Below are 23,345 nucleotides of genomic sequence, written 5' to 3' on the forward strand. Positions count from 1 at the left end.
GGTTTTTCCGGGATAACTTCCTGGAGAGGAGATGGACTTGGATCCACAGAGAGGCAGCTGGGCAGAGGAAGGGTGGGGGCTGGGTGAGGGGGATGACATGTGGACTGTGGTTTGGTATAGCCAGAAGAGGAGGCTGGCAAAGCTAGGGGCAGGAAGGGAAGCCCCAGGGGTCTCTTCTGCCCCTTGTTGGCAGGTTTGAGGACATTGAGAGAGATGGATCAACTTGAAGGTGAGGGGATTATTTGCAGTGTCAACTTCCAAGAGTCACCTTCTCCTGCCTCCCTTACCATCCCCTCCCAGTATCTCAATTCTCCCCAAGGCTGGAGATCAGCCCCTACTTTGCTATTGTTTGTAGACATGGGGTCTCACTATGTTTCCCAGGCCGGTCTCAAATTCCTGGCCTCATGCAATCCTTCCGTCTTGGCCTCCCACAGTGCTGGGATTGCAGGTGTGAGTGATCACGCTGTGCCCAGCCCTCTACTTTGTAACAATCAGATCTTTAACTGGGCACTTACACCTGCCCCAACCCACCACATGACACCCGACTTGTATGAGCATCACCCTCATTCGGTGAGGCCTTGTTATGTGCACTTACAGCTGAGAACTCAGAGACCAGGGAAGGGAGCTCTCCTACCAAGGCCTCACGGCTGGGAAGTGGTGGTACTGGCATGGGATCTTCTATCAGTGCGACTGCTCAAACCCCCAAGCTCAGCCCAGGTGACCCAGCCCTGAGAGGGGCTCCCAGAGCTCACACTGCCTTGGATTCTCTCCAGTCCCATCTTTCTCATACATACCACCCCCCTTCAAAAAAGGCAAATGGTGCTGACAACCAGGCCCCCCAGGATCTCCGTCAGATAATTGTGCCCCCTTCAAGGGCAAATTTGGCAATGTCACAACGCTGCTAAGTTGGTTTAGGTAGAATCCTCAATTTTGTCCTCCATATCTGATTGGGTTTCTTGTCCTCCGTGGCCCCCAGGTGATGTCTGAGCAACCCACCTGCCTTCAGCAGGAATCCTGGTGGATCGGTTTAGCCAGAGTCTCCCAACCCCCCATGACCCCTGATGTTTCTTCTGGTTAACTTTCCAACCTCAGACCCCACCCTGCTCCTTGGCTATGAATTCCCGCTTTTTCTTATTGTATCTGCTGTTGAGTCCAGTCTCTCTTCCCCACTGCGGAAGCCACTGCCATGGCCCTACACCTGTCCCCATGGCCCCTTTGAACAAAGCCTGCCTTACTGTGTTTCAACAAGTGTCACTGAGTGATGTTTTATCTTTAACATCTTTCAGATGGGGAAAGAGAGGCCTTTGGGCTAATTTCCTTTCAGATGCATGGGGAAAGACTGACTCTCCTATCAGGTATGTAAACCCCCAAGTCAGGCAGACCAGAGCACCCAGCGGTGGGGACTGTACCAGCTGGCTGTGGGCAGGGCTGTGGGGGAGGGAGGAGGAGGTGGAGCCTCCTTTTTCTAGGGCATGTGTCACCTGCCACTCCCCTGCCAGTGTGCGAGGCAGCGTGAAGCTGGGGCCTGCTCCCCGCAGCCTCTGGAGCGCATCTCAGACCTTCTGAGACCTATGTTGCTGGCCCCCCAGAACCCGCAACATGGCAGATGGGGCAAAGGCCAACCCCAAAGGGTTCAAAAAGAAGGTGCTGGATAGATGCTTCTCTGGGTGGAGGGGCCCACGCTTCGGGGCCTCCTGTCCTTCAAGAACCTCCAGGTAGGTGCCTGTTGCCCTGAGATGGAATCCTCCAGGGAGGGGCAGGGACAGGCGTGAGGGACTGGCTCCTAGAATCCCTTTCTCCTAAGAGTCCACGTGGTGGGCAGAACCCCAAAGGGATCATTTAGTCAACCTTCACGTGGCACTCATGTGGCCCAGGGAGAGTGAGGCCACACAACCCTCATGTGGCCCAGGGAGGCTGAGGCCACACATTTTGGAAGCGGTGCTGGGACTGGAATCCAGGGACCTAGGACTCCTGGCTTTGGGTTCAAGACCCAGCTGCTAGGCTGGGTCATATGACTTCCTTCCCGGACTCCCTAGTGTGTGCATGGGAGGTCTGGCCTGAGACAGCAGGCTTCCTGTCCTGAAGGCTGATGCGTGGAGGGGGTTCCTGCCAGAGTGGGGGGCAAGGAGGTGTTCGTGCCTCCTGGCTCTGCCATCTGGGGTGCGCTCCTCCAGGAGGGGCTGGGCAGGTACTGATGACAGCGCTAGGAGCAGCAACTAGGACATCAAGGGACAGCATTGATGACACCTGTCCTGAGGCTCAGGAAGGGAGCAGCAGGTCCAACACTGCCAAGGGTGGAGGGGATGGACTCAAGCTCCGGGTTTCGTCCTCCCTCAGGTCTAGCCTGGGTATGAAGAAGTTCTTCACCGTGGCCATCCTTGCTGGCAGCGGTGAGTAAAGACTCCAGAGGGCTCCTCCTTCTCTCCCACTCCCAGCTTGTCTCCCGTGACCTTGGGCGCCTGAGTTATGGTTCCACTGACCAGCCTAGGTTCCTTCCTGTCTCTGGGCTTCTGCTTCTTGTCTCAGCCCAGCAGGCTGCACCCAATTCTGGGGCTGTTTACCCCTCCAGCCACCTGTAAACATGCATTTATGAGCCCTGGGGGGCAGGGCGCAGGGCTGAGCAAGCATCGTAAAATGCTGGTGTTGGCTGGGCATTTGTGTACCTGAATGTGTACTAGTGTGTGTCCATCAGACTGGAGTTAATGATTTTGTGTGCAGACAGGCACAGGCATCTATGTGTGTGTAGGTGTGTCTGAGCATGTGATGATGTCTATGTGTGCAACATGCATCCATAAAGTATGTGACAGTGTAGGCACCTGAGTGCGAGCCCATTTGTGTCTCTTTGTGTGAGTGTGTGTTAATTGGGGTGTGTGTCTTCAGAGCATGCTTATGGATGAAGGGTGCATAGATCTGCAGGAGGGTGTGTGTGTGTAGGATGGGTGTCTGTGTACTGCATAGTGGTGGGAGGTCAGGGGCTTCTTTCTGGGGTTGGTACCCAGGGCATCATGGCTCTGGGCAGCCGCCCCATAGGATTGTTGCGTGAGGCTCTTGACACAGACCTGACCCTGCCACTCGTCCCGGCATCATTTATGTGGCAGGTGTCCCAGCTCCATGGACCATTGGCTGGGCCTCTCACTGGCCTTGCATGCAGCCTGTTAAACCTCGCCAGAACACAGCCTGGCTTGAGGAAAAGAAATAAATGACAAAAACCAAAATAAGGTTCCACGTGGCCAGACGTGAGAGAGGGCTGGTTGCATTCAGGCAAAGTGACTTGTTATTGAGAAGACGACTGCTTGAGTTCAGTCCAAGCCACTGGTTAGGGGCAGAGCCTTCAACCCAACTGAATGCGGACTTGGATTCCTTCGCTTGGACGGTCAGTGTGGATGTGGCCTTGGGCCAGGCCCCTGATTCTCCCCTGGATGCGTTGTGTATGTGAGTGCATCTGTAATGCACGAGGGCGAGTGTGCAAGTGTGTGTATCAGGTATGTGTGGGTGTATATCATGTATGTATGGGTGAGTGTAGGTGTATGAGTGTATCAGGTATGTATGTGTGAGTGTTGAGTGTATCAGGTATGTGGGGGTGAGTGTGAGTTTGAGGTGTCTGGGAATGAGTGTGTATGCAAGTGCATGTGGTGTGTAAAGGAGAGTGTGAGGTGGGCAGGTGTGTGAGTGTGTGTGAGATGGGTGTGTGTGTGTCAGTGTGTGTTCACCCTGTGCATGGCCACGTAGACTTCTTGCTCTTCTTCTCTTGCCACATGGGAGTTGACTGTCGGGGGTCCTGGGACTGGAGGTGCCCCCTCCCGGGTAACACTTACAAGGCCAGGGGCAGATGGGGAGGCAGCCAGGGCCTCGCAGTGGTTGGGTCCCTCCTCAAGGCGCTGTGTGGGCCAGGCACTCTACACACCTTCATGATCACACTTCAACCTCCAAGGTGCCCTGCAAGGAGGCGTCATGATCTCCATCCTCTGCTTTGGGCATTGTGATCCGAGAGGTTGCTGGTGTGTGCCAGGCCTCCAGCAGGGCACTGGCCTGCCTGATCTCTCATGGTTTAGATTGTTACTCCCATTTTACAGATGGGAGAACAGAGCCCCAGGGAGTCCCAGCTGGGCTTGGTTATTGGCCTAGGTCTGTCTGACTCCAGATTCAATGCTCTTCCCACTAAGGCACATTGAGGTGGTGAGTTCCCTGTCATTAGAGATGTCGGACACCATGTCTCTGGAAGCAGGCAAGAGTGGCCTTTGGGATTCCCCTGAGCCACCAGTTTCTGAAACCGTTGGCTTTCCCCTCTCCCAGTACATTTCCTCATTCAGGCTGGGGAGCAGGGTGGACATGGAGAGAGTGGCAGGAAGGGTGCTGAGCTAGGCCCCTCACGCTGACTGCAGCTAGAATGGCTGGGGTGGGGGAAGCAGGCGGAGCTGCACTGCCCTGCGCTGCGGTTAGCTTCCCAGCTCCGCAGTACACAAACCTGGGGCAGTCTGGGCTCTGCCCCCTCCAGCCTGTGGGACCTGGGCAAGCCTGCACCTTTCTGAGCCTTAGTTTCCTCACCCATAAAATCGTGATAGATTGGCTCTCCTGCTGGTGTGTGTAGGGCAGCTTCCCCCAGGTAAGGACTGTAGGTGCCAGGCTGGGCGTGTGGACCCAGTGCTGCATCCAGGAGGATGTGCAGAGGCAGCGCAGGCAATTCAGAGAGCCACCGCACAGGCACAGACTGCAAGATGGAGACAAGCAGTGGCCAGGGGGAGAATGTGTCCTGGGGTGGGCCGGCCTGGCAGGTGCCATGAAGCTGATTTCGCTGGTGCAGGAAGTGTCCTTGCACTATTTCTCCCTCTGTGTGTGTGTGGGGAGACTGTTTTCCTTCTTCCCACCTCCAGCCAGTATCAGCCTGTAATACGAAGCCTTTTCTGTTTCTTCATTAGCGATCAGAGCACCGAATTGTCGCTGGATTGATCCTGAGATGCACCAGGCCCGGGATCAGGGTGGGGACTCTGAGGCCCCCAGGAGGGCAGAGGCAGGAGGCAGAGACCAGGAAGGGACCCAGAATCAACCCCCTGAGCTTCCTAAGAGCATGTGGCCTTTGCGAAGCTCCCTCCAGCATACCAGGCACTTGGGCATCCCCCTTGAGAAGTGTGTACAGCCAAGTGGCAGGGGGTGTGGATGCAAAACCCTCACTGCCTGGGTCCAAATTCTGTCTCCACTGCTTTCTGACAACGGGATGTAGAGCAAGTTACTAAATGCACTGGGCCTCAGTCTTCTCATCTGCACAGAGGCATAACAAGAGCATGCAGGGGGTTGCAGTGAGCACTCAATGGATTCATGCACATGGAAGGGGCTTGGGACAGTACCTGGCATGGAGCAAGTCCCTAGCAAGGATGACCTGCGTTGTTTTCTCAGGGCCGCAGGGATGTGGGTGCACACCATACATGGTACCTTGCAGATTTCTTTCCTCTGGCTTAGCTGCCCACGCTTCTTGCCCCAGCTTCCTCTCCTGCTTTCTCCTTCCTTCTCCCACCTACCCTAGGTATTGGGAGGATGGTCAGTCCAGACTCTCAGGATGAGAGAGGCTGGGAGCGGCCAGCCCCGGGGCAGGGGCTCAGAGCACCCCCTGGTTCTCTTGCAGTTCTGTCCACAGCTCACGGCAGCCTGCTCAACCTGAAGGCCATGGTGGAGGCCGTCACAGGGAGGAGCGCCATCCTGTCCTTCGTGGGCTACGGTTGCTACTGTGGGCTGGGGGGCCGTGGCCAGCCCAAGGATGAGGTGGACTGGTAGGTACCAGAGGCCTGGGCTCCTGTCAGGGGCCAAATGAGGACAGCTGAAGGTCAGACTGACCTTGCCCTCCATCCCTGAGTGGGGGAGACCTTCTTTCCCCAAAGGATCCAGCTTCTTTGATGACTTGGTGACCAGAGCCTGGTCTTTGACTATGTTCTTTCCAAACTGTTTTGAGCGCTTTCTGTTGTCCATCTCCAAGGCCATGGGCTTGGAAGTGTTTCAGCCCCTCCTCTCTCTAGGAAGGGACCTTTGACTTGCTCCAAAACACACATGGGAGAGCAGTCACACAGCTGACACCCCACAAAGGCAAGGGCTGTGACCCCTGCCTGCCTCACACTGGAGGCTCTGGAAGACAGGACCATGCCTCCTCCATCAGACTGTGAGCTCCCAGCAGCCATGGCTTGTCTTCTGCTCCTATCTCCCCAACAGCAGGCAGCACCAAGTTTGTATCACAGAAAGCTAAATAAATACACATTGACTAGCTGACTTCACGCCCCCAGAGGTGATGGGGACAGCCACACTGCCTGTGTTTCTTGTTCGCCATCCTACCAGTCCCTGTTGACCCTCCAGACCTTTGTCCCTCCCTGGCCATGAGGCACAGCCAGGGGTGGCCTCTGCCTACAGTCGACGCTCCTCCAACCTTGACGTAAACCTAGGCAGGTCCCTGACTCCTCCCACTGCTGCAGCCGGGGCTCTGGGGGAAAGCTGGGAGCCCTGTGGATAGAACAAAGACACAGGGGAGAATGTGTCCTGGGAGGGGCAGGTCTGGCAGGTGCCAACGAAGCTGAAGCTGTGAGAATCAGAACCTGGGGTGCCGGCCCCAGCTCTGCTTGGCTGTGTGACCTCAGACAAGTAACTGTCCCTCTCTGGGCTTCAGTTCGAACGTTTGACCTGCGAGAGACTGGAAGAGATGATCAGAGGTCTCTGCTGGTGGGAGATGGGCCGGCCCAGCCATGCCTGTCCACTCACCTCTGCCGCTCCCTAGGTGCTGCCACGCCCACGACTGCTGCTACCAGGAACTCTTTGACCAAGGCTGTCACCCCTATGTGGACCACTATGATCACACCATCGAGAACAACACTGAGATAGTCTGCAGTGAGTCCCTCCCCTGTCACCTGGGCCCCCAGAGAAGGGAGTGGCTGGCTCTACCAGCCTGTGCTGGGATGGTGGACAGGCTTGCCAGATTAAATACAGGCTGCCAGCCGGGTGCGGTGGCTCATGCCTGTAATCCCAGCACTTTGGGAGGCCGAGGCGGGCGGATCACTTGAGGTCAGGAGTTCGAGACCATCCTGGCTAATGTGGTGAAAACCCGTCGCTAGTAAAAATACAAAAATTAGCTGGGCTTGGTGGCATGTGCCAGTAATCCCAGCTGCTGGAGAGGCTGAGATACGAGAACCACTTTGAACTTGGGAGGCAGAAGTTGCAGTGAGCCAAGATCGCACGCCACTGCATTCCAGCCTGGGAGACAGAGTGAGACTCTGTCTCGAAGAAGAAATGAAAAAGAAAAAAAGAAATACAGGCTGCCTAGTGAAATTCATTTCTTAGCTATACAATGAAAAATGTTTTAATATTAAATATGTCCTAAATATTGCATGGGACATATTGATACTCAAAACTAAATGCTAGTATAAAATTAATTAATATTTATAGATAAGGAAATGTTTAGGACATACTTCTACTAAAACATGTATTTTTTTTTTTTTTTTGAGACGCAGTCTCTCTCTGTCGCAAGGCTGGAGTGCAGTGGCATGATCTCGGCTCACTACAACCTCTGCCTCCCAGGTTCAAGTGATTCTCCTGCTTCAGCCTCCCAAGTAGCTGGGACTACAGGTGCATGCCACCATGCCCAGCTACTTTTTAAATTTTTAGGAGATACAGGGTTTCACCATGTTGGCTAGGATGGTCTTGATCTCTTGACCTCTTGATCCACCCACCTCGGCCTCCCAAAGTGCTGGGATTACAGGTGTGAGCCACTGCATCCAGCCAAACATGTACTGTTTACCTGAAATTTTAATTAATTAATTAATTAATTAATTAAGACAGGGCCTTGCTCTGTTGCCCAGGCTGGAGTTCAGCGGTGCCATCGTAGCTCACTGCAGCCTTAACCTGGGCTAAAGTGATCCTCCTGCCTCAGCCTCCCAATTAGCTGGGATTACAGGCCAGTGCCAACATGCCCAGTTGATTCTTGTATTTTTTGTGGAGATGGGGGTCTCACTATGTTGCCCAGGCTGGTCTTGAACTCCTGGCCTCCAGCAATCCTACTTCTGCTTCCCAAAGTGCTGGGATTATGGGTATGAGCCACCAGCCCAGCCTGAAATTGAAATTCAACCAGGAATCCTGTGTTTTGATTTTGGTTTTGCTTTTTTGCTAAATCTGAATCTGACCAGCCTAGCTGTGGCTTGAGAACATCTCCCTGAGGTGCTCTGATGCTCCAGTCCTGGAATTGGCATCCCAATTCTCCTGTCCCCCAAATTCTGGGTGATTCTGATTCCGTGGGTGTTGGTGGGGCCCAGGAACTTGGCTTTCAGCCGGCTCCCCAGATGGTTCTGAGACTGCAGCTCTGCAGGGAGGCTCTGAGACATGCTGGCCTGGGAGTCAGGGGACCTGGGTTTGAACTCTGGTTCTGTCACCATCTCCCTGCTCCATGTAGCCCTGGGCAGCTCCTTCCCCATCTGGCCTGTTTCCTCACTCATGGGTCCACTGAGGGGTTTGGATCAGAGCGGACTCTTTCTCTTCTGGTTCTGTCACTCGGACCCCACCTGCAGAGGTGGCTCCATCCTAGGACGCCCAGTGTTTCCAGGGATCCAAGGTATTAGCACCTGGCCTGGCGGGTTCCTTCATTTACCATGAACTTGCTGTGGCTATTTCCCAACTGAGACATGTAGGTAAGCGCAAGTGGCATCCAAGTAGCAGCGCCCAGGTGTCCCTGCCCTGCCCTACTCTGTGCTCCTCTCTGGGAGAGGACTCCCCCTGGCCCAGCCTGTGGGCAACCACTGGGCCCTCTTTGCCCCCATGTCTTCACCTGGTGGTACCAGTTGTTGCTTATTAATAGCTCACAAGCAACGCTGGCTTTGCAAAGACACTCAAATCTTCTGTCATTGGGAAGGAGTCTAGTGGAGACTGGGGTGCACTTGGGACCCCTTGGGGGCCCAGATCTCTGTGGTCCTCATGTTCTGCTGTTCAAACATGAGGTGGAGGGGCTGGCCTGAGATAGCAGATGCCCCCCTATTAAAGCAGCTGGAGGAGAGAGATTCTCCCCCAGCCACCACCCACCAGGGGTAACAGACGAACTTAAAGCAGTGATTTTCATGCTGGGTTCTGGGAATCCCTGGGGCCATCAGAGCCAGAGGCCCTGAGAGGTGCTGGTCACAGTCCCTGAGAGGTTCAGCTGGTACTTTAGTGTATTTTATCATTAAGCAGCTTCTTCTGGGGCCGTCTGATGCATCAGCTTTCTTTAAAGAGTTTCGTTTAAGAAACAGGATTTTGCTGGTAGAAGGTATGAAAAGTTTGCAGACCGATCAAGCTAGTTGGAGGTTCTCAAAGGGTAGCCCCTGAACCAGCAACAGCAGCAGCTGCAGCACCCAGGAACTTGTTAGAAATGCCAATCATCAAGCCCCACCCAGACCTACTGAATCTGATACTTAGGGGTGAGGTCCAGCAGTCTTTGTTGGAACAAGCCCTCCAGCTGATTCTATTGTGCACCTAAGGATGATTTCCGAAATCTACTAATTATAACAACAGCATAGGGACAAACAACAGTAGCATTTGCCCTGGATTAGGCATGTGAGAGGCTCTTAGGCACTAAGCTTTTGAACAATTGTTTTTCCCACTCATTTCTTACCAATAACTCCCTCTTCTTTTTTTTTTTTTTAAGATGAAGTTTCGCTCTTGTTGCCCAGGCTGGAGTGCAGTGGCATAATCTCGGCTCACTGCAACCTCCTCCTCCAGGGTTCAAGCAATTCTCCTGCCTCAGTCTCCCGAGTAGCTGGGATTACAGGCGTCCACCACCACGCCTGGCTAATTTTTTGTATTTTTAGTAGAGATGGGGTTTCATCATGTTGGCCAGGCTGGTCTCCAACTCCTGACCTCAGGTGATCCACCTGTCTTGGCCTCCCAAAGTGCTGGGATTACAGGCGTAAGCCACTGCGCCCGGCAATAACTCCCTCTTCACTGGGCGTTCTTTGATTCTGTGATTGAAGGGAAGAGGTCTGGGATGGCAGGAAGTAACAAGCCTGGGAGGCGTGGGGGGTGCTTTAGTTCTGTGGGTGACTTAGGTAAACCCATCCCCCTTTCTGGGGCTCAGTTTCCCCAGCTATGCAATAACTGTGTTGGGCTTCAGTGGTTCCCCAATTTTACTATGCACCAGAGTCCCCTAGAGAGCTTGTTACAACACAGACTGCCGGGCCCCAGCCCAGAGCTGCTGACCTTGTAAGCGTGGGGTGGGGCCCGTGGGTGGTGCTGGTCCTGCCGCCCAGGTAACACATTCCAAGGACCACTGGGCTCTCCAAGTCTGTGTGCTCCCCTTCCCCAGCAGTAGTCCTGGGGGAGCTGCTGCCCCTTTCATCCACAGCCTTTGCCACCCCATCCCCCTGTAGGTGACCTCAACAAGACAGAGTGTGACAAGCAGACATGCATGTGTGACAAGAACATGGTTCTGTGCCTCATGAACCAGACGTACCGAGAGGAGTACCGTGGCTTCCTCAATGTCTACTGCCAGGGCCCCACGCCCAACTGCAGCATCTATGAACCGCCCCCTGAGGAGGTCACCTGCAGTCACCAATCCCCAGCGCCCCCCGCCCCTCCCTAGAGCCTCTGAGGTTTGAGAGAGAGAGCGGGAGGAGGGTCTGGCTTGGGGACCAGACGAGGTGCAGGGAGGGTAGGAGCCAGGCCAGGAGCCTGAGGGTTGCTGGTTGCCTCCTCCCTGGAGCTCTCCAGTGAGGGCTCAGCTCTCAGAGGACTCAGGAAGGCCTGGGTCCTGACTCCCCCAGCCCAGCCCCAGGCATGGGTGCCTCCTGCTGCTGGTTCTGGACTGGGTGGGAGGCACGGAGCTTATAGGGGTCTCTCCTGAGGGTGGCCGGGGAGACCTGAGAGAGAGGAGGAGGGGCCTCTGAGTGGGGCCTCTGTTGCTGGCGCCAGTTTAACTCCCCGGAGCCTTAGAAAGTCTGAGCCTTAGAAAGTCTGGGCCTGAGCATCCAGGCCCAGAGCTGGATGCATCCTCGGCCCAAGATCACAGGAAGGCAGATTGCTGGTCACAAAGCATGGGTTCCGGGAGCCCCTCAGCTGATCCCACAGGATGGCCTGGGGTGGTGGCTACTTTGGGCTTGAAGCTCTCTAGAGCCCCATTCACAGAGCAGGTGCCCCACCCCAGCCCTCACTGAGGTGGCCATGAGTCCAGGTTCAGACCCTAGGGGATGTGCAGTGCTGAGTGTCCCAGCCCTGAAGTCTAGCCTCAGAGCAGGCTCCTGGGCACTGACAGAGCCACACACCCAGGTACACCCCCCAGGCTAATATGGGGACACACAAAAATATGGCCTTCAACACCTACAAGTCTTCTCTGTGTCCCCCATCGACCCATGCACATCACCCCAACCCTGCTCTGCCACACCACGTGGGTCTGAGGAGCACTCCTACCCCCCGGCTCCGGGTCCCTGACAGACACTGCCCTCCTGGCCTGCACCTGGAATGGCAGCCAGAACACTGGAGGGGGACCCACACCCTCTCTCCCTGGGCTGTGGATGGGTGTTGCAAGTCCCATCCCTCCTGGCCTGCACCTGGAACAGCAGCCAGAACACCGGAGGGGGACCCACACCCTCTCTCCCTGGGCTGTGGGCAGGCGTCACAAGTCCCATTGGTGGGGAAGAGGCTGAGGGCTGAGACCCACCTCAGTGAAGAGGGAAACGTAAGCAGGGAGAGCATCAAGGCGGGAGGCAGCCTGGAAACTTCTAGAAGAGGGTCAAGGTAGGAGGCTACATGGAAGCTTCTAGAAGGCAGTAAGGAACAGGGTGGTGAAGGAGAGGGGAGAAGATGGGAGCATGGAGAGACGAGGTGAGTGACAGCCACCAGCAGGGACGGGCCTCCAGGCAACACAGAGGAGCTGGGGGCCAGGGCCTTACGGGGCTGGGTTCCTGTGTGGGGCGTGGAGCTGGGGCTGAAGTGGAGGGGACGGCCCTGCGGCCCCCAGCACTGTTGTTTCTCCAGGTGCACCTTACCTTCCTCCTTACCTGCCCGAGCCTCAACTCAGGGTCAGCAGCCTCCACGGAGCCAGCCCCACCTGCCCGAAAACCACTGAAGCCACCCTCCGCCCGGACTCAACAGCCGCCAGCAAGCTCGCCTGGCAGTGCCCCTGGAGCACCATTGTCGCTGGGGAGGGAGAGCCGGGAAGGGTGGAGAAGGAGGCAGAAGGGACATGTATGAAAAAAGGACAGGAAACCTGACCAGAGGCGGTTTCCAGAGCCCCAGCCTTGGAGACAAGGACACTGCCACCCAGCGCCACAGTCAGTCTGGGAGGGGCCCACGCCCCCCACCCCCCATGCCACACTGCCGCCTCTTGCTGGCCATGGTTCTCCGGCTTGGGGGAACGCAGGTTCCCAGCTGCGCCCCTCCCCCGCGCACACACACCCTCCCCTGTCCCTCGGAAAGACTAGGCCAGGGTCTGGGGATGGGATTCTGCTGCCAGGGGTCCTGCCTGCCCCCACTCACCCCAGACGCTTCGGATGCTGCAGCTCCTGGATAATCTCCACAGGACTCGGCTTCCTCTCCTCAAATGAATAAAGGCCTCCTACCTCAACTCCCCATGGCTGGCCCCTCCTTGGCCAGGTGTCGGGGGAGGACACAGTGACTCCCCCTGCTTCTCCAGCTCTGGGGAAGGTGGGTTCCCTTGCCCAGTAGCTGGCATGGCCCGTCTCCCTCCTGCCCCCAGCCTGGGAGTGAGAAGTGGTGCCCAAACCATGGACCCTAGGCCCCGTGGTCCGGCAGTGGGACCATGACCATGGTATGATGATAACAACGGGGCTAAGCCTTTTCAGGCACAGATCTCTGCCGTACTCTCTCCACCCATTTCTGTTGAATAACCGAGTCCCAGAGAGTTCAAGTCACACAGGTCACAGGTGGTGGGGCTGGGCTCTGAGTCCTCTGTGTCGGACTTTTTTTTTTTTTTTTTTTTTTTTGAGACAGAGTCTCGCCATGTTGTCCAGGCTGGAGTGCAGCGGTGTGATCTCGGCTCACTGCAACCTCCGCCTCCTGGATTCAAGCAATTCTCCTGCCTCAGCCTCCCGAGTAGCTGGGACTACAGGCGGCCGCCACCACGCCCAGCTAATTTTTGTATTTTTATTAGAGATAGGGTTCCACCATGTTGGCCAGGCTCGTCTCGAACTCCTGACCTTAGGTGATCCGCCCACCTCAGCCTCCCAAAGTGCTGGAATTACAGGTGTGAGCCACCACTCCTGGCTGCATCTGACTTTTAATCCCTGCTCCTTGCAGCTCCTGAATTATGATGTGGGCACCTGGGGCAGTGGGAGGAGAGACCGAGGTCCTGATGCCGGCCCATCCAGTTCTCCTTCCAGCTCTGCCGCTGACATCTGTTGAGCCTTGGTGGGCCCATCTGTGAAATGGGACTACATTTCTGCAGTGAAGGGTCCCAGGCTTGTTGTGACAGCCACTGAGACAGTGGGGAGGAAAGGGCTTTGTGAGCTGAGTGGGGTGGGGAGGGGAAAGCAGGAGATTATTACAGTCGAGATCGTTAGTATGGAGGCTGGATATTTCTTCAGAGTGAAAGTGAGTGACCGTGGGGCCATGAGGGTCCCGCAGGGCAGCTGGGTCCTGGCCCCTTCCCGACTCAGGCTCCTTCCTGTATGGGCATCCGTTGCCTCCCCTGCAGGGACCAGAGCGGCTGTTTCTTTTCCTTTTCTTTTCTTTTTTTTTTTTTTGAGACGGAGTCTCACTCTGTCACCCAGGCTGGAGTGCAGTGGCGCCATCTCGGCTCACTGCAAGCTCCGCCTCCCGGGTACACGCCATTCTCCTGCCTCAGCCTCCCGAGTAGCTGGGACTATAGGCGCCCGCCACCACGCCCGGCTAATTTTTTGTATTTTTAGTAGAGACGGGGTTTCACCATGTTAGCCAGGATGGTCTCGATCTCTTGACCTCGTGATCCGCCCGCCTCGGCCTCCCAAAGTGCTGGGATTACAGGCGTGAGCCACCGCGCCTGGCCCAGAGCGGCTGTTTCTCATGCTCCCTAAAGCTGTGGGCTTCCCTGGGGACATCAGCCGGTACCCCTGTGTTATATGGGGAAGCTTTCACAGGCGACCCTGCAAGAAGAGGGATTCCTCAACTCAATATTTTAAAAGTTTGAAAATCCCTGGACAAGCTCACCCCACGGGTTCGTTCACCCAGCAGCCCTGCATGAGAGTCCCCTGTGTGCCAGCTGTGGTGCTGGGCTTCCAGCCTCTGCCCGCCCCCACCCTCCCGAGAAGCCTGCAGCCCAGGCGGGAGGCAGACGCTGAGCTCTTAACCTTGACACGCGGTGCCAAGTGGTGTGGCCGGGAGCACAGGGGTGAGGACCCAGGTCTGTGTGGCAGTCCCAAAGGTGCCAAAAGGGGATGGATGCAGCTGGGGTGGTGCAGCTGGGGTCTCCCTGGCGTGGAGAGGAGGAGCAGGGGGTCACATTTTGTGAGGAGGGGGCCCTTCTACCGCCTGGGGATCTCCTCCCCTGGGGACCCATGAAGACTCCATCCGGGGGACTGAGGTCTTCCACGCTAAAGCGTGAGGACGGCGCTGTTAGTGCTCCTCCCTGTCCTGGGGCTGCCATCTCTGCCCAGACCTAGGTCCGCCTACCCCCTCGGGACACCCATGCCCCTCCCGGCTCCTTTCCGGGTTCCTCGGACCTGTGGGGCGTCGCTGACAGCTTTTCCAGAACGCGGGCGACACCTAGTGGACATCACGGGTCACAACCGGTGCTCCACTGCACCCCTCCCGCCCCTCTGCCCTGGACCCAGAGTGGAATTCTGTTGAGGGCCTGCCCCAGGCCCACAGTGTCCAGGAGAGCACAGGAAGCCGTCAGTATGGCCTCCACCATCCTCTCATTGTTGTCATCACCGCCTCTCGAGAAGCGCTGCCCTTAAAGCAAACAGCACAGGCTGGGTGGCACCCTGGCCCTGTCCCTAGCGGGCAGTGTAGATGTGGCAAGTCGCTTCACCCCTCTCAGCCTCAGTTTCCCCCTTCTGTAAAATGTGGTTGATAATGAAGCACACCCCATAGGGTTTGAGGATGACATGAGCTCAGGGATGAGAATGCCCCTAGCATAGGGCCTGGCGTGGAGAAGGGAAATTTTCTAGAGTGGGTGACTGGTGCCCTGGGCAAAAGACCTTCAGGTCGGGGTGGCAGACAGCGGCAGGTAGAAGAAGGTGTTGCTGATGGAAGTGGACTGCCTGTGATATTCTTCCCCAAACAGAAAACTGGCAGAAGCAAAGCTGTTATTTAGCAAGACAATCTGGCTCCCTGCCTGTGAGTGTGAGGGGGAAAGGGAGCGGGTGGGAGGAGGAGGAGGGAGAGGATGTAGAAAGGAAGGGTCTGTGGACCCTTGCTGTCCCTAAGCCATAGCCAGGCACCCGGGGCCTTGACTGACCCTGCCCCCAGCTGGGCCTGAGAGCCGCCACTTCCTCGGCCCGGCCCTGACTATGAATGCAGAGAGGCAGCCCTTCCTCCAGAGGCTGCCGCAGTAACACTAGCTGTTGGCTTCCCTAGTTGTGGCTTCCTGACAAGCAGCTGATGCCACCCACTGTGACAACAAGGAAAGTTCTGGAGAAAAACACCAAGGCTCCTAGCAACAGGAGACAGGGGTGCACAATTAAAAAAAAAAAAAAAAAAGACATATTGGGCCAGGCGCGGTGGCTCACTGCTGTAATCCCAGCACTTTGGGAGGCTGAGGCGGGCGGATCATGAGGTCAGGAGATCAAGACCACCCTGGCTAATACGGTGAATCCCTGTCTCTACTAAACAAAATACAAAAAAAAAAAAAAATTAGCCGGACATGGTGGGGGGGCGCCTGTAGTCCCAGCTACTCGGGAGGCTGAGGCAGGAGAATGGCATGAACCTGGGAGGCGGAGCTTGCAGTGAGCCGAGATTGCGCCACTGCACTCCGGCCTGGGTGACAAAACGAGCCTCCGTCTGAGAAAAAAAAAAAAAAAAAAAAAGACACATTGCCCTGCCAAAGTCAACCCCCCTAAAACACCCATGCTCTGCCAAGGAAGGGGGTCTGTGATCTCAGGATGTCAGGGCCCAAGTAAGAAAAGCAGAGTGCATCGATCACTGTGCCCAGAGCTCTGTGTGTCCTCTCATTTAACCCTCTCAGCAGCCCTAGGAGGTGGGTGAGGAGAGAGGCCATTTCTCTTACTGTCTCCTGTCTCTGAAGAGAAGGAGGAAGTAAAAGTTGAAAAACAACAGGAATGAAGTCAGTGGCAAGACCAGCCAGTGCCACTGATGACCAGGCCTGAGGTTAAAAGTTTAACCACCTCCCCCCAACCCCGCCACTCTAACCACATGTGCTCTCAATCTACCACGACCATTTCACGTGGAACCCCTTAGAGGTGTAAGCCCTTAAAACGGCCAGGAACTCTGTCTTCGGGGAGCTCTGTTCTTGAGACGCGAGTCTGCCGAAACTCCCAGGCGAATAAAGCCAAATCCTTCCTTAACCTGGTGTCTGAGGGGTTTTGTCCACGGCTCATCCTGCTACCTTTCTTAGTTCCCTGACCGGGAAATCGGGTGACTGATGGACGGTGGAGGCAGCCCCTTAGGCAGTTTAGGCCTGCCCTGTGAAGTATCCCTGTGGGCGGCTCTGGCCAGCTTGAGTGACGCAGATCCTGAGAGCGCTCCTGGGTAGGTATTTGCCCCGGTGGGATGCCTTATCAGAGTGGTGCATGGCAGGCCCCCGTGGAGGATCAACGCAGTGGCTGAACACTGGGAAGGAACTGGCACTTGGAGTCTGGACAACTGGAATACGGTAGGACCGGTCCTGGGAATTTCCCCACTCCGTTTGAGTGGAAGCGTAGCCTGATCACCCACCGTGTGCCCTTATCGGCACTTGGGTCTCAGCATTGATTTTGATTTGGTTTGACTTGTTTGCAATCGGCACTTTGGTCTCAGTATTGATTTTGATTTGGCTTGACTTGTTTGCAAAAAGGAAAGTGAAAGTGAGTGCTTGAGTTTGAGACAGGCGAGACTAGAGTGACCCCTTTACCCTTTCCTTCTTGTAGTGTGAGTGTTGTTTTGTCTCGGGAGGAAGGTGGGTGGAACGCAAAGTAAGCCCACTCTTCTAGGAACTATGTTGAAAAATTTCAAGGAAGGATTTGGTGGAGACTATGGAGTTAACTATGACACTAGGAAAGCTTAGAACTTTGTGTGAGATAGACTGAGCAGCATTAGAAGTGGGTTGGCCAACAGAAGGAAGCCTAGACAGGTCCCTTGTTTCAAAGGTGTGGCACAAGGTAACTGGTAAAGGATACCTAGACCAGTTTCCATACATAGACACTTGGTTACAGCTGGTTTTAGACCCCCCCACAGTGGTTAAGAGGATAGGCAGTAGTAATACTAGTGGCAAAGGGACAAACAGCCAAGGAAGAATCCTGGTCCACCTGCCGAGGGAATCAACTCCTAAAGTCCTGTCCGACCCAACATCAGAGGATTCATGGCAAGAAACAGCACCAGTGACCTCCCCCTTTTACCAAGAAGGAAGGCCTTCCATTCCTGAGCCCACTGCACCCAAGCTTCCACAAGGCCTATATACCCCTAGGCCATCAAGAGTAGAAAAGAAAGGATGTGAGGCCTCGGGAGAAACCCCTCCCTTGGCAGCCTGTTTGAGGCCTAGAACTGGGATACAAATGCCCCCGAGAGAGCAATGGTATACTGGGGTAGACGAGGACGGGCATATGGTGGAAAGGCGTGCCTTTGTGTACCAGCTCTTCACCCCTACCGATCTCCTCAATAGGAAGAACAATACCCCATCCTATACCGGAAAGCCTCAAGCTATAATTGATTTGCTCCAAACTATAATCCAGACCCACAACCCCACCTGGGCTGATTGCCACCAGGTGCTCATGTACCTCTTTAACACAGATGAAAGGAGGAGAGTGCTCCAAGCAGCAACTAAGTGGCTGGAAGAACATGTTCCTGCTGATTACCAAAACCCCCAAGAGTATGTGAGGATCCAATTACCAGGAACAGACCCCCAGTGGGACCCAGATGAAAGACAGTATGCAAAGGCTAAACCGGTACAGGGAAGCCCTTCTGGAAGGGTTAAAGAAGGGAGCGCAGAAGGCCACAAATGTTAACAAAGTCTCTGAGGTCATTTAAGGGAAAGATGAGAGCCCAGCACAATTCTACGAGAGACTATGTGAGGCCTATCCTATGTATACTCCCTTTGATCCCGATAGCCCTGAAAATCAGTGCATGATTACCATGGCTTTAGTCAAACTACAGAAGACATTAGAAGAAAATTGCAGAAACAGGCTGGGTTTGTAGGCATGAATATGTCACAGTTATTGGAGATAGCCAACCAGGTGTTTGTAAATAGAGATGCAGTAAGCCGCAGAGAGCACCACAGAGAGTGAATGCCAAGCCCGGCGAAACACTGACCTGCTAGCGGCAGCTATTAGAGGGGTTTCCCCCAAAGGGGCGAGAGAAGGGGGGCCCCAGGAAAAATACCCAATCTGGCCATCCACACTTGCAGCGTAACCAGTGTGCTTTACTGTAAGAAAACAGGACATTGGAAGGAAGGGGCCCCCAGTTGAAAGGGAAATGAGGTGACTCTGAGCAAAGGGTCTCAGACAAGGACGAAGGAGACTTGTTCAATCTGCCAGAAGGGTTATGGGACAGAGGGGGACCAGGCTCATGTGCCCCCAAAGAGCCCATGGTCAGGATGACAGCTGGGGGCAGAACATTGAGTTTCTAGTCAATACTGGTGCTGAACATTCTGTAGTGACCACCCCGGTTGCCCCCTTATCCAAAAAGACTATTGATATAATTGGAGCCACAGGGGTTTTGGCAAAGCAAGCTTTCTGTTTGCCCCAGACCTGTACCATAGGGGGACATGAAGTGACTTACCAGTTCCTGTACATGCTTGACTGCCCCTTGCCTTTGCTAGGAAGGGACCTACTTAGCAAACTGAAAGCCACCATCTATTTTACAAAGCACAGCTCTTTACAGTTAAAGTTACCTAGAACGGGAATCATCACTGGTCAGGCAAAAACAGTACCCGGTCCCCAGAGAAGCTCTTGAAGGTATCCAGGTCCATCTCAAGTGCCTGAGGGCCTTTGGAATTATAGTCCCTTGTCATTCTCCATGGAACACTCCCCTCCTGCCTGTTCCCAAGCCAGGGACCAAGGACTACAGGCTGATACAGGACTTGCACTTGGTCAATCAAGCTACGGTGACTTTACATCCAACAGTACCTAACCCATACACATTGTTGTGGTTGCTGCCAGCTGAGGACAGCTGGTTCACCTACCTGGGCCTGAAGGACGCTTTCTTTAGCATCAGACTAGCCCCTGAGAGCCAGAAACTGTTTGCCTTTCAGTGGGAGGATCCAGGGTCAGGTGTCACCACTCAGTACACTTGGACCCAGCTTCCCCAAGGGTTCAAGAACTCCACCACCATCTTCGGGGAGGCCCTGGCTCGAGACCTGCAAAAGTTTCCCACCAGAGACCTAGGCTGCGTGTTGCTCCAGTATGTCGATGACCTCCTGCTGGGACACCTCATGGCAGTTGGGTGTGCCAAGGGAATGGATACCCTGCTCTGGCACCTGGAGGACTGTGGGTATAAGGTATCCAAGAAGAAAGCTCAGATATGTCAACAGGAGGTACGTTACTTGGGATTTACTATCCAACAGGGGGAGCGCAGCCTGGGATCAGAAAGAATGCAGGTCATTTGCAACCTACCGGAGCCTAAGACCAAAAGGCAGGTGAGAGAATTCTTAGGAGCTGTGGGGTTCTGCAGGTTATGGATCCCAAACTTTGCAGTACTGGCCAAACCTCTGTACGAAGTCATAAAGGGAGGTAACAAAGAGCCTTTTGAATGGAAGTCACAAAAGCAATGAGCTTTTCATGAGTTAGAAGAGAAACTCATGTCAGCCCCAGCCCTGGGGCTACCTGACCTGATGAAGCCATTTACACTGTATGTGGCAGAGTGAAAAGATGGAAGTTGGGAGTTTTAATCCAGACGGTGGGGCCCTGGCCAAGACCAGTAGCCTACCTCTCCAAACAGCTAGATGGAGTTTCTAAAGGTTGGCCCCCATGTTTGAGGACCTTGGCAGCAACTGCCCTGCTAGCACAAGAAGCAGATAAACTAACTCTTGGGCAAAACCTGAACATAAGCACCCCCCATGCTGTGGTGACTTTAATGCATACCAAAGGACATCATTGGCTAACAAATGGTAGACTAACTAAGTACCAAAGCTTGCTCCGTGAAAATCCCTGCATAACCATTGAAGTTTGCAACACCTTGAACTCCACCACCTTACTCCCAGTGTCAGAGAGCCCAGTCGAACGTAACTATGTAGAGGTGTTGGACACAGTTTATTCTAGCAGGCCTGACCTCCAAGACCATCCTTGGACATCAGTAGACTGGGAGCTGTACATGGACAGGAGCAGCTTCGTCAACCCACAAGGAGAGAGGTGTGCAGGATATGCAGTGGTAACCCTGGATGCTGTCACTGAAGCCAAATCATTGCCCCAGGATACTTCAGCCCAAAAGGTCAAACTCATTGCTTTAATTTGGGCCTTAGAGCTAAGTGAAGGTAAGACTGTAAATATTTATACTGACTCTCGGTATGCCTTCTTAACCCTCCAAGTGCATGGGGCATTATATAAAGAAAAAGGCCCATTGAAATCTGGGGGAAAAGACATAAAGTACCAGCAAGAGATCCTGCAGTTAGTAGAGGCAGTATGGAAGCCCCAAAAGGTGGCAGTCATGCATTGCAGAGGACACCAGCGAGCTTCCACCTCGATTGCCTTGGGGAACTCCCAAGCTGACTCAGAGGCTTGAAAAGTAGCATCCACCCCCTTCTGGGCATCAATCACAGCCCCCCTATTCCCTCAGGCACCTGACCTTGTACCTACTTATTCTAAAGAAGAGAAGGACTTTCTCTAGGCAGAGGGAGGACAGGTGATAGAAGAGGGATGGATCTGGTTATCGGACAGGAGAATAGCCATACCACAACTGCTAGGAGCCGCAGTCATATTGGCTATGCATGAGACCACGCACATAGGCCAAGAGCCACTTGAAAAGTTGTTGGGCCAGTTCTTCTACATCTCACATCTGTAAGCCTTTGCCAAAACAGTGGTGCAGCAGTGTGTCACCTGCTAGCAGCACAATGCTAGGCAAGGTCCAACTGTCCCGCCCAGCATACAAGCTTATGGAGCAGCCCCCTTTGAAGATCTCCAAGTAGACTTCACCAAGATGTCCAAATGTGGAGGTAACAGGTATTTGCTAGTTCTAGTGTGTACATACTCTAGGTGGGTGGAGGCCTATCCAACACGAACTGGGAAAGCTTGTGAAGTAACCTGTGTGCTTCTCCGAGATCTCAACCCTACGTTTGGACTGCCCTTACGAATCAGCTCAGACAATGGGCTGGTGTTTGTAGCTAGTTGGTACAGAAGACAGCAAAGGTATTGGGGATCACATGGAAACTACATACCGCTTACCAACCACAGAGTTCTGGGAAGGTGGAGTGGATGAATCAGACTATCAAAAATAGTTTAGGGAAAGTGTGTCAAGAAACAGGATTAAAGTGGGTATAAGCCTCCCTATGGTATTGTTTAAGATTAGATGTACCCCTTCTAAAAGAACAGGATATTCCCCTTATTAAATATTATATCATAGGCCCCCCTCCCAGACTATGGGGACTCCCAGGCACTCCTCGAGAGCTAGGTGAAATTGACTTACAGCAACAGCTACAGGCTTTAGGCAAAATTACACAAACAATTTCAGCCTGGGTAAATGAGAGGTGCTCTGTCAGCTTATTCTCCCCAGTTCACCCTTTCTCCCCAGGTGATCGGGTATGGATCACGGATTGGAACATAGCCTCCTTGCAGCCACGGTGGAGAGGACCCCAGACCATCGTCTTGACCACTCCCACAGCCATAAAGGTAGAAGGAATCCCAGCCTGGATTCACCACAGCCATGTAAAACCTAAAGCATCTGAGACCTGGGAGGTGAGACCAAGCTTGGACAACCCATGCAAGATGACTTTGAAGAAGATGACAAGCCCTGCTCCAGTCACACCTGGAAGCTGACTGGTCCGTGCATGGCTGAAGCATGAGGAAACTCATCGTGGGACTCATTTTCCTAAAATTTTGGACTTGTACAGTAAGGACTTCAACTGACCTTCCTCAGACTGAGGTAGGGCAAAAAGTTAAAACAGACTTTCTGTTTAAAAGGGACTTGTGTGTATAATGCTACCCAGTACAAGATATGCAGCCCAAGAAGTGACCAGCTTGATGTGTGCTATAACCCATTGGAACTAGTTTATCCCTGTTGGAAAACAGAGTATGTAACTCTAGGAATTGATGGAACTGGACTGGAAGACCTGGGTAGTGAAGATGACAGTGAGAACTCCCACTAGTGAGTGAGATTCTCAAAGGGGGGAATGAGAAGTGAGGCCATTTCTCTTACTGTCTCCTGTCTCTGAAGAGGAGGAGGAAGTAAAAGTTGAAAAACAACAGGAATGAAGTCATTGGCAAGACCAGCCGGTGCCACTGATGACCAGGCCTGAGGTTAAAAGATCAACCCCCCACTCTAACCACATGTGCTCTCAATCTATCATGACCCTTTCATGTGGACCCCCTTAGAGTTGTAAGCCCTTAAAAGGGCCAGGAACTCTGTCTTCAGGGAGCTCGGTTCTTGAGACATGAGTCTGCCAAAGCTCCCAGCTGTTGAGATGCGAGTCTGCCAAAGCTCCTGGCCGAATAAAGCCAAATCCTTCCTTAACCTGGTGTCTGAGGGGTTTTGTCCACAGCTCATCCTGCTGCAGTGGGGACTATTCATAGCTTTGCTTCTGCAGGGAGGAAACTGAGGCCCAGAGGAGCCAAGTAAATGACTCAAGGTCATGCAACAAATGCAGGATTTGAACTCCAACTCCAGAGCCTGAGACTCAGAGGGCATCAGATCCAGCTTCCTCATTTTGAGAAAGTGGGTGGGAAGTAAGAGATTGTGACTCAGAAGACAGGGGTTCACATTCCAGCCCTGCTGGGCACTAGCTGGTGCCCTGCAACAAGTCACTAGTCCGCCCCCCTCCCCAGTCCCGTTTTCATCAGATGAATAAAGGGGAGGGCAAGAGGATGGGCAATGCCGGTGGGAGAGGGCAGGACTGAATAGGGTGGTCAGCATAAGCCTCATCAAGAAGGTGGGATTCCAGCCCAGACTTGAAGGGGTGGCACTGTAAAGACAGCCCAGTGGGAGCCACTGAGGGTCTGAGCAGAGAGTGCCAGGCTCAGTCACTGCTGGCCGACTGCTGTGTGAGGAGGAGATGGAGGGGCCGAGGGTGGGGGCAGGGAGAACAGCAGAGAGCAGCTGCAGTGACGGTGATGGTGGCA

The 23,345-nt window shown here is 54.1% G+C and overlaps 1 protein-coding gene and 1 long non-coding RNA gene across 6 annotated transcripts, besides 4 other annotated features; both read left to right on the plus strand.

Annotated features, from left to right (window-relative positions):
- Positions 1-1,494: 1,494 nt before the first annotated feature.
- PLA2G2F (phospholipase A2 group IIF) lies at positions 1,495-12,553 on the plus strand. Of its 4 annotated transcripts, XM_011541956.2 has the most exons (6): positions 1,495-1,715; positions 2,338-2,390; positions 5,618-5,762; positions 6,752-6,861; positions 10,362-10,583; positions 11,965-12,042. In XM_011541956.2, the coding sequence occupies exons 1-5, from the start codon at positions 1,600-1,602 to the stop codon at positions 10,571-10,573; spliced, it is 636 nt and encodes a 211-aa protein (XP_011540258.1). In that variant the 5' UTR covers positions 1,495-1,599; the 3' UTR covers positions 10,574-10,583; positions 11,965-12,042. The 4 variants fall into 3 exon arrangements, with proteins under 4 accessions (XP_011540258.1, NP_073730.3, NP_001347798.1 ...); NM_022819.4 differs by having other exon boundaries at positions 10,362-12,553; XM_011541955.2 differs by lacking the exon at positions 10,362-10,583 and having other exon boundaries at positions 11,965-12,553.
- Positions 4,103-4,603: an enhancer, noted in NCBI's record as "H3K4me1 hESC enhancer chr1:20468424-20468924 (GRCh37/hg19 assembly coordinates)". NCBI's record gives its function as "activates a minimal SCP1, AML or CMV promoter by ChIP-STARR-seq in naive H9 embryonic stem cells {active_cell/tissue: H9 hESC(naive)}" and the evidence as "EXISTENCE:reporter gene assay evidence [ECO:0000049][PMID:30033119]".
- Positions 10,474-10,974: an enhancer, noted in NCBI's record as "H3K4me1 hESC enhancer chr1:20474795-20475295 (GRCh37/hg19 assembly coordinates)". NCBI's record gives its function as "activates a minimal SCP1, AML or CMV promoter by ChIP-STARR-seq in primed H9 embryonic stem cells {active_cell/tissue: H9 hESC(primed)}" and the evidence as "EXISTENCE:reporter gene assay evidence [ECO:0000049][PMID:30033119]".
- Positions 11,683-12,309: an enhancer, noted in NCBI's record as "H3K27ac-H3K4me1 hESC enhancer chr1:20476004-20476630 (GRCh37/hg19 assembly coordinates)". NCBI's record gives its function as "activates a minimal SCP1, AML or CMV promoter by ChIP-STARR-seq in naive H9 embryonic stem cells {active_cell/tissue: H9 hESC(naive)}" and the evidence as "EXISTENCE:reporter gene assay evidence [ECO:0000049][PMID:30033119]".
- Positions 15,485-16,036: an enhancer, noted in NCBI's record as "H3K4me1 hESC enhancer chr1:20479806-20480357 (GRCh37/hg19 assembly coordinates)". NCBI's record gives its function as "activates a minimal SCP1, AML or CMV promoter by ChIP-STARR-seq in naive H9 embryonic stem cells {active_cell/tissue: H9 hESC(naive)}" and the evidence as "EXISTENCE:reporter gene assay evidence [ECO:0000049][PMID:30033119]".
- On the plus strand, positions 16,386-22,740 carry LOC117779438 (uncharacterized). 2 transcript variants are annotated; one of them, NR_168502.1, is made up of 2 exons: positions 16,386-16,759; positions 21,802-22,740. It is a non-coding gene; the product is annotated as an uncharacterized LOC117779438 (long non-coding RNA). The 2 variants fall into 2 exon arrangements; NR_168501.1 differs by having other exon boundaries at positions 16,386-22,740.
- The last annotated feature ends 605 nt before the right edge of the window (positions 22,741-23,345 follow it).

The sequence above is a fragment of the Homo sapiens genome, chromosome 1 (genome assembly GCF_000001405.40).
Source record: "Homo sapiens chromosome 1, GRCh38.p14 Primary Assembly".
Classification (NCBI taxonomy): Eukaryota; Metazoa; Chordata; class Mammalia; order Primates; family Hominidae; genus Homo; species Homo sapiens.

Bases quoted from the DNA above. Each gene is read 5' to 3' on its own strand.
- PLA2G2F (XM_011541955.2), top strand. From the start codon at position 1,600: ATGGCAGATGGGGCAAAGGCCAACCCCAAAGGGTTCAAAAAGAAGGTG. The intron at 1,716-2,337 runs GTAGGTGCCTGT...GTCCTCCCTCAG, and splicing joins TGTCCTTCAAGAACCTCCAG to GTCTAGCCTGGGTATGAAGA. The intron at 2,391-5,617 runs GTGAGTAAAGAC...GTTCTCTTGCAG, and splicing joins GGCCATCCTTGCTGGCAGCG to TTCTGTCCACAGCTCACGGC.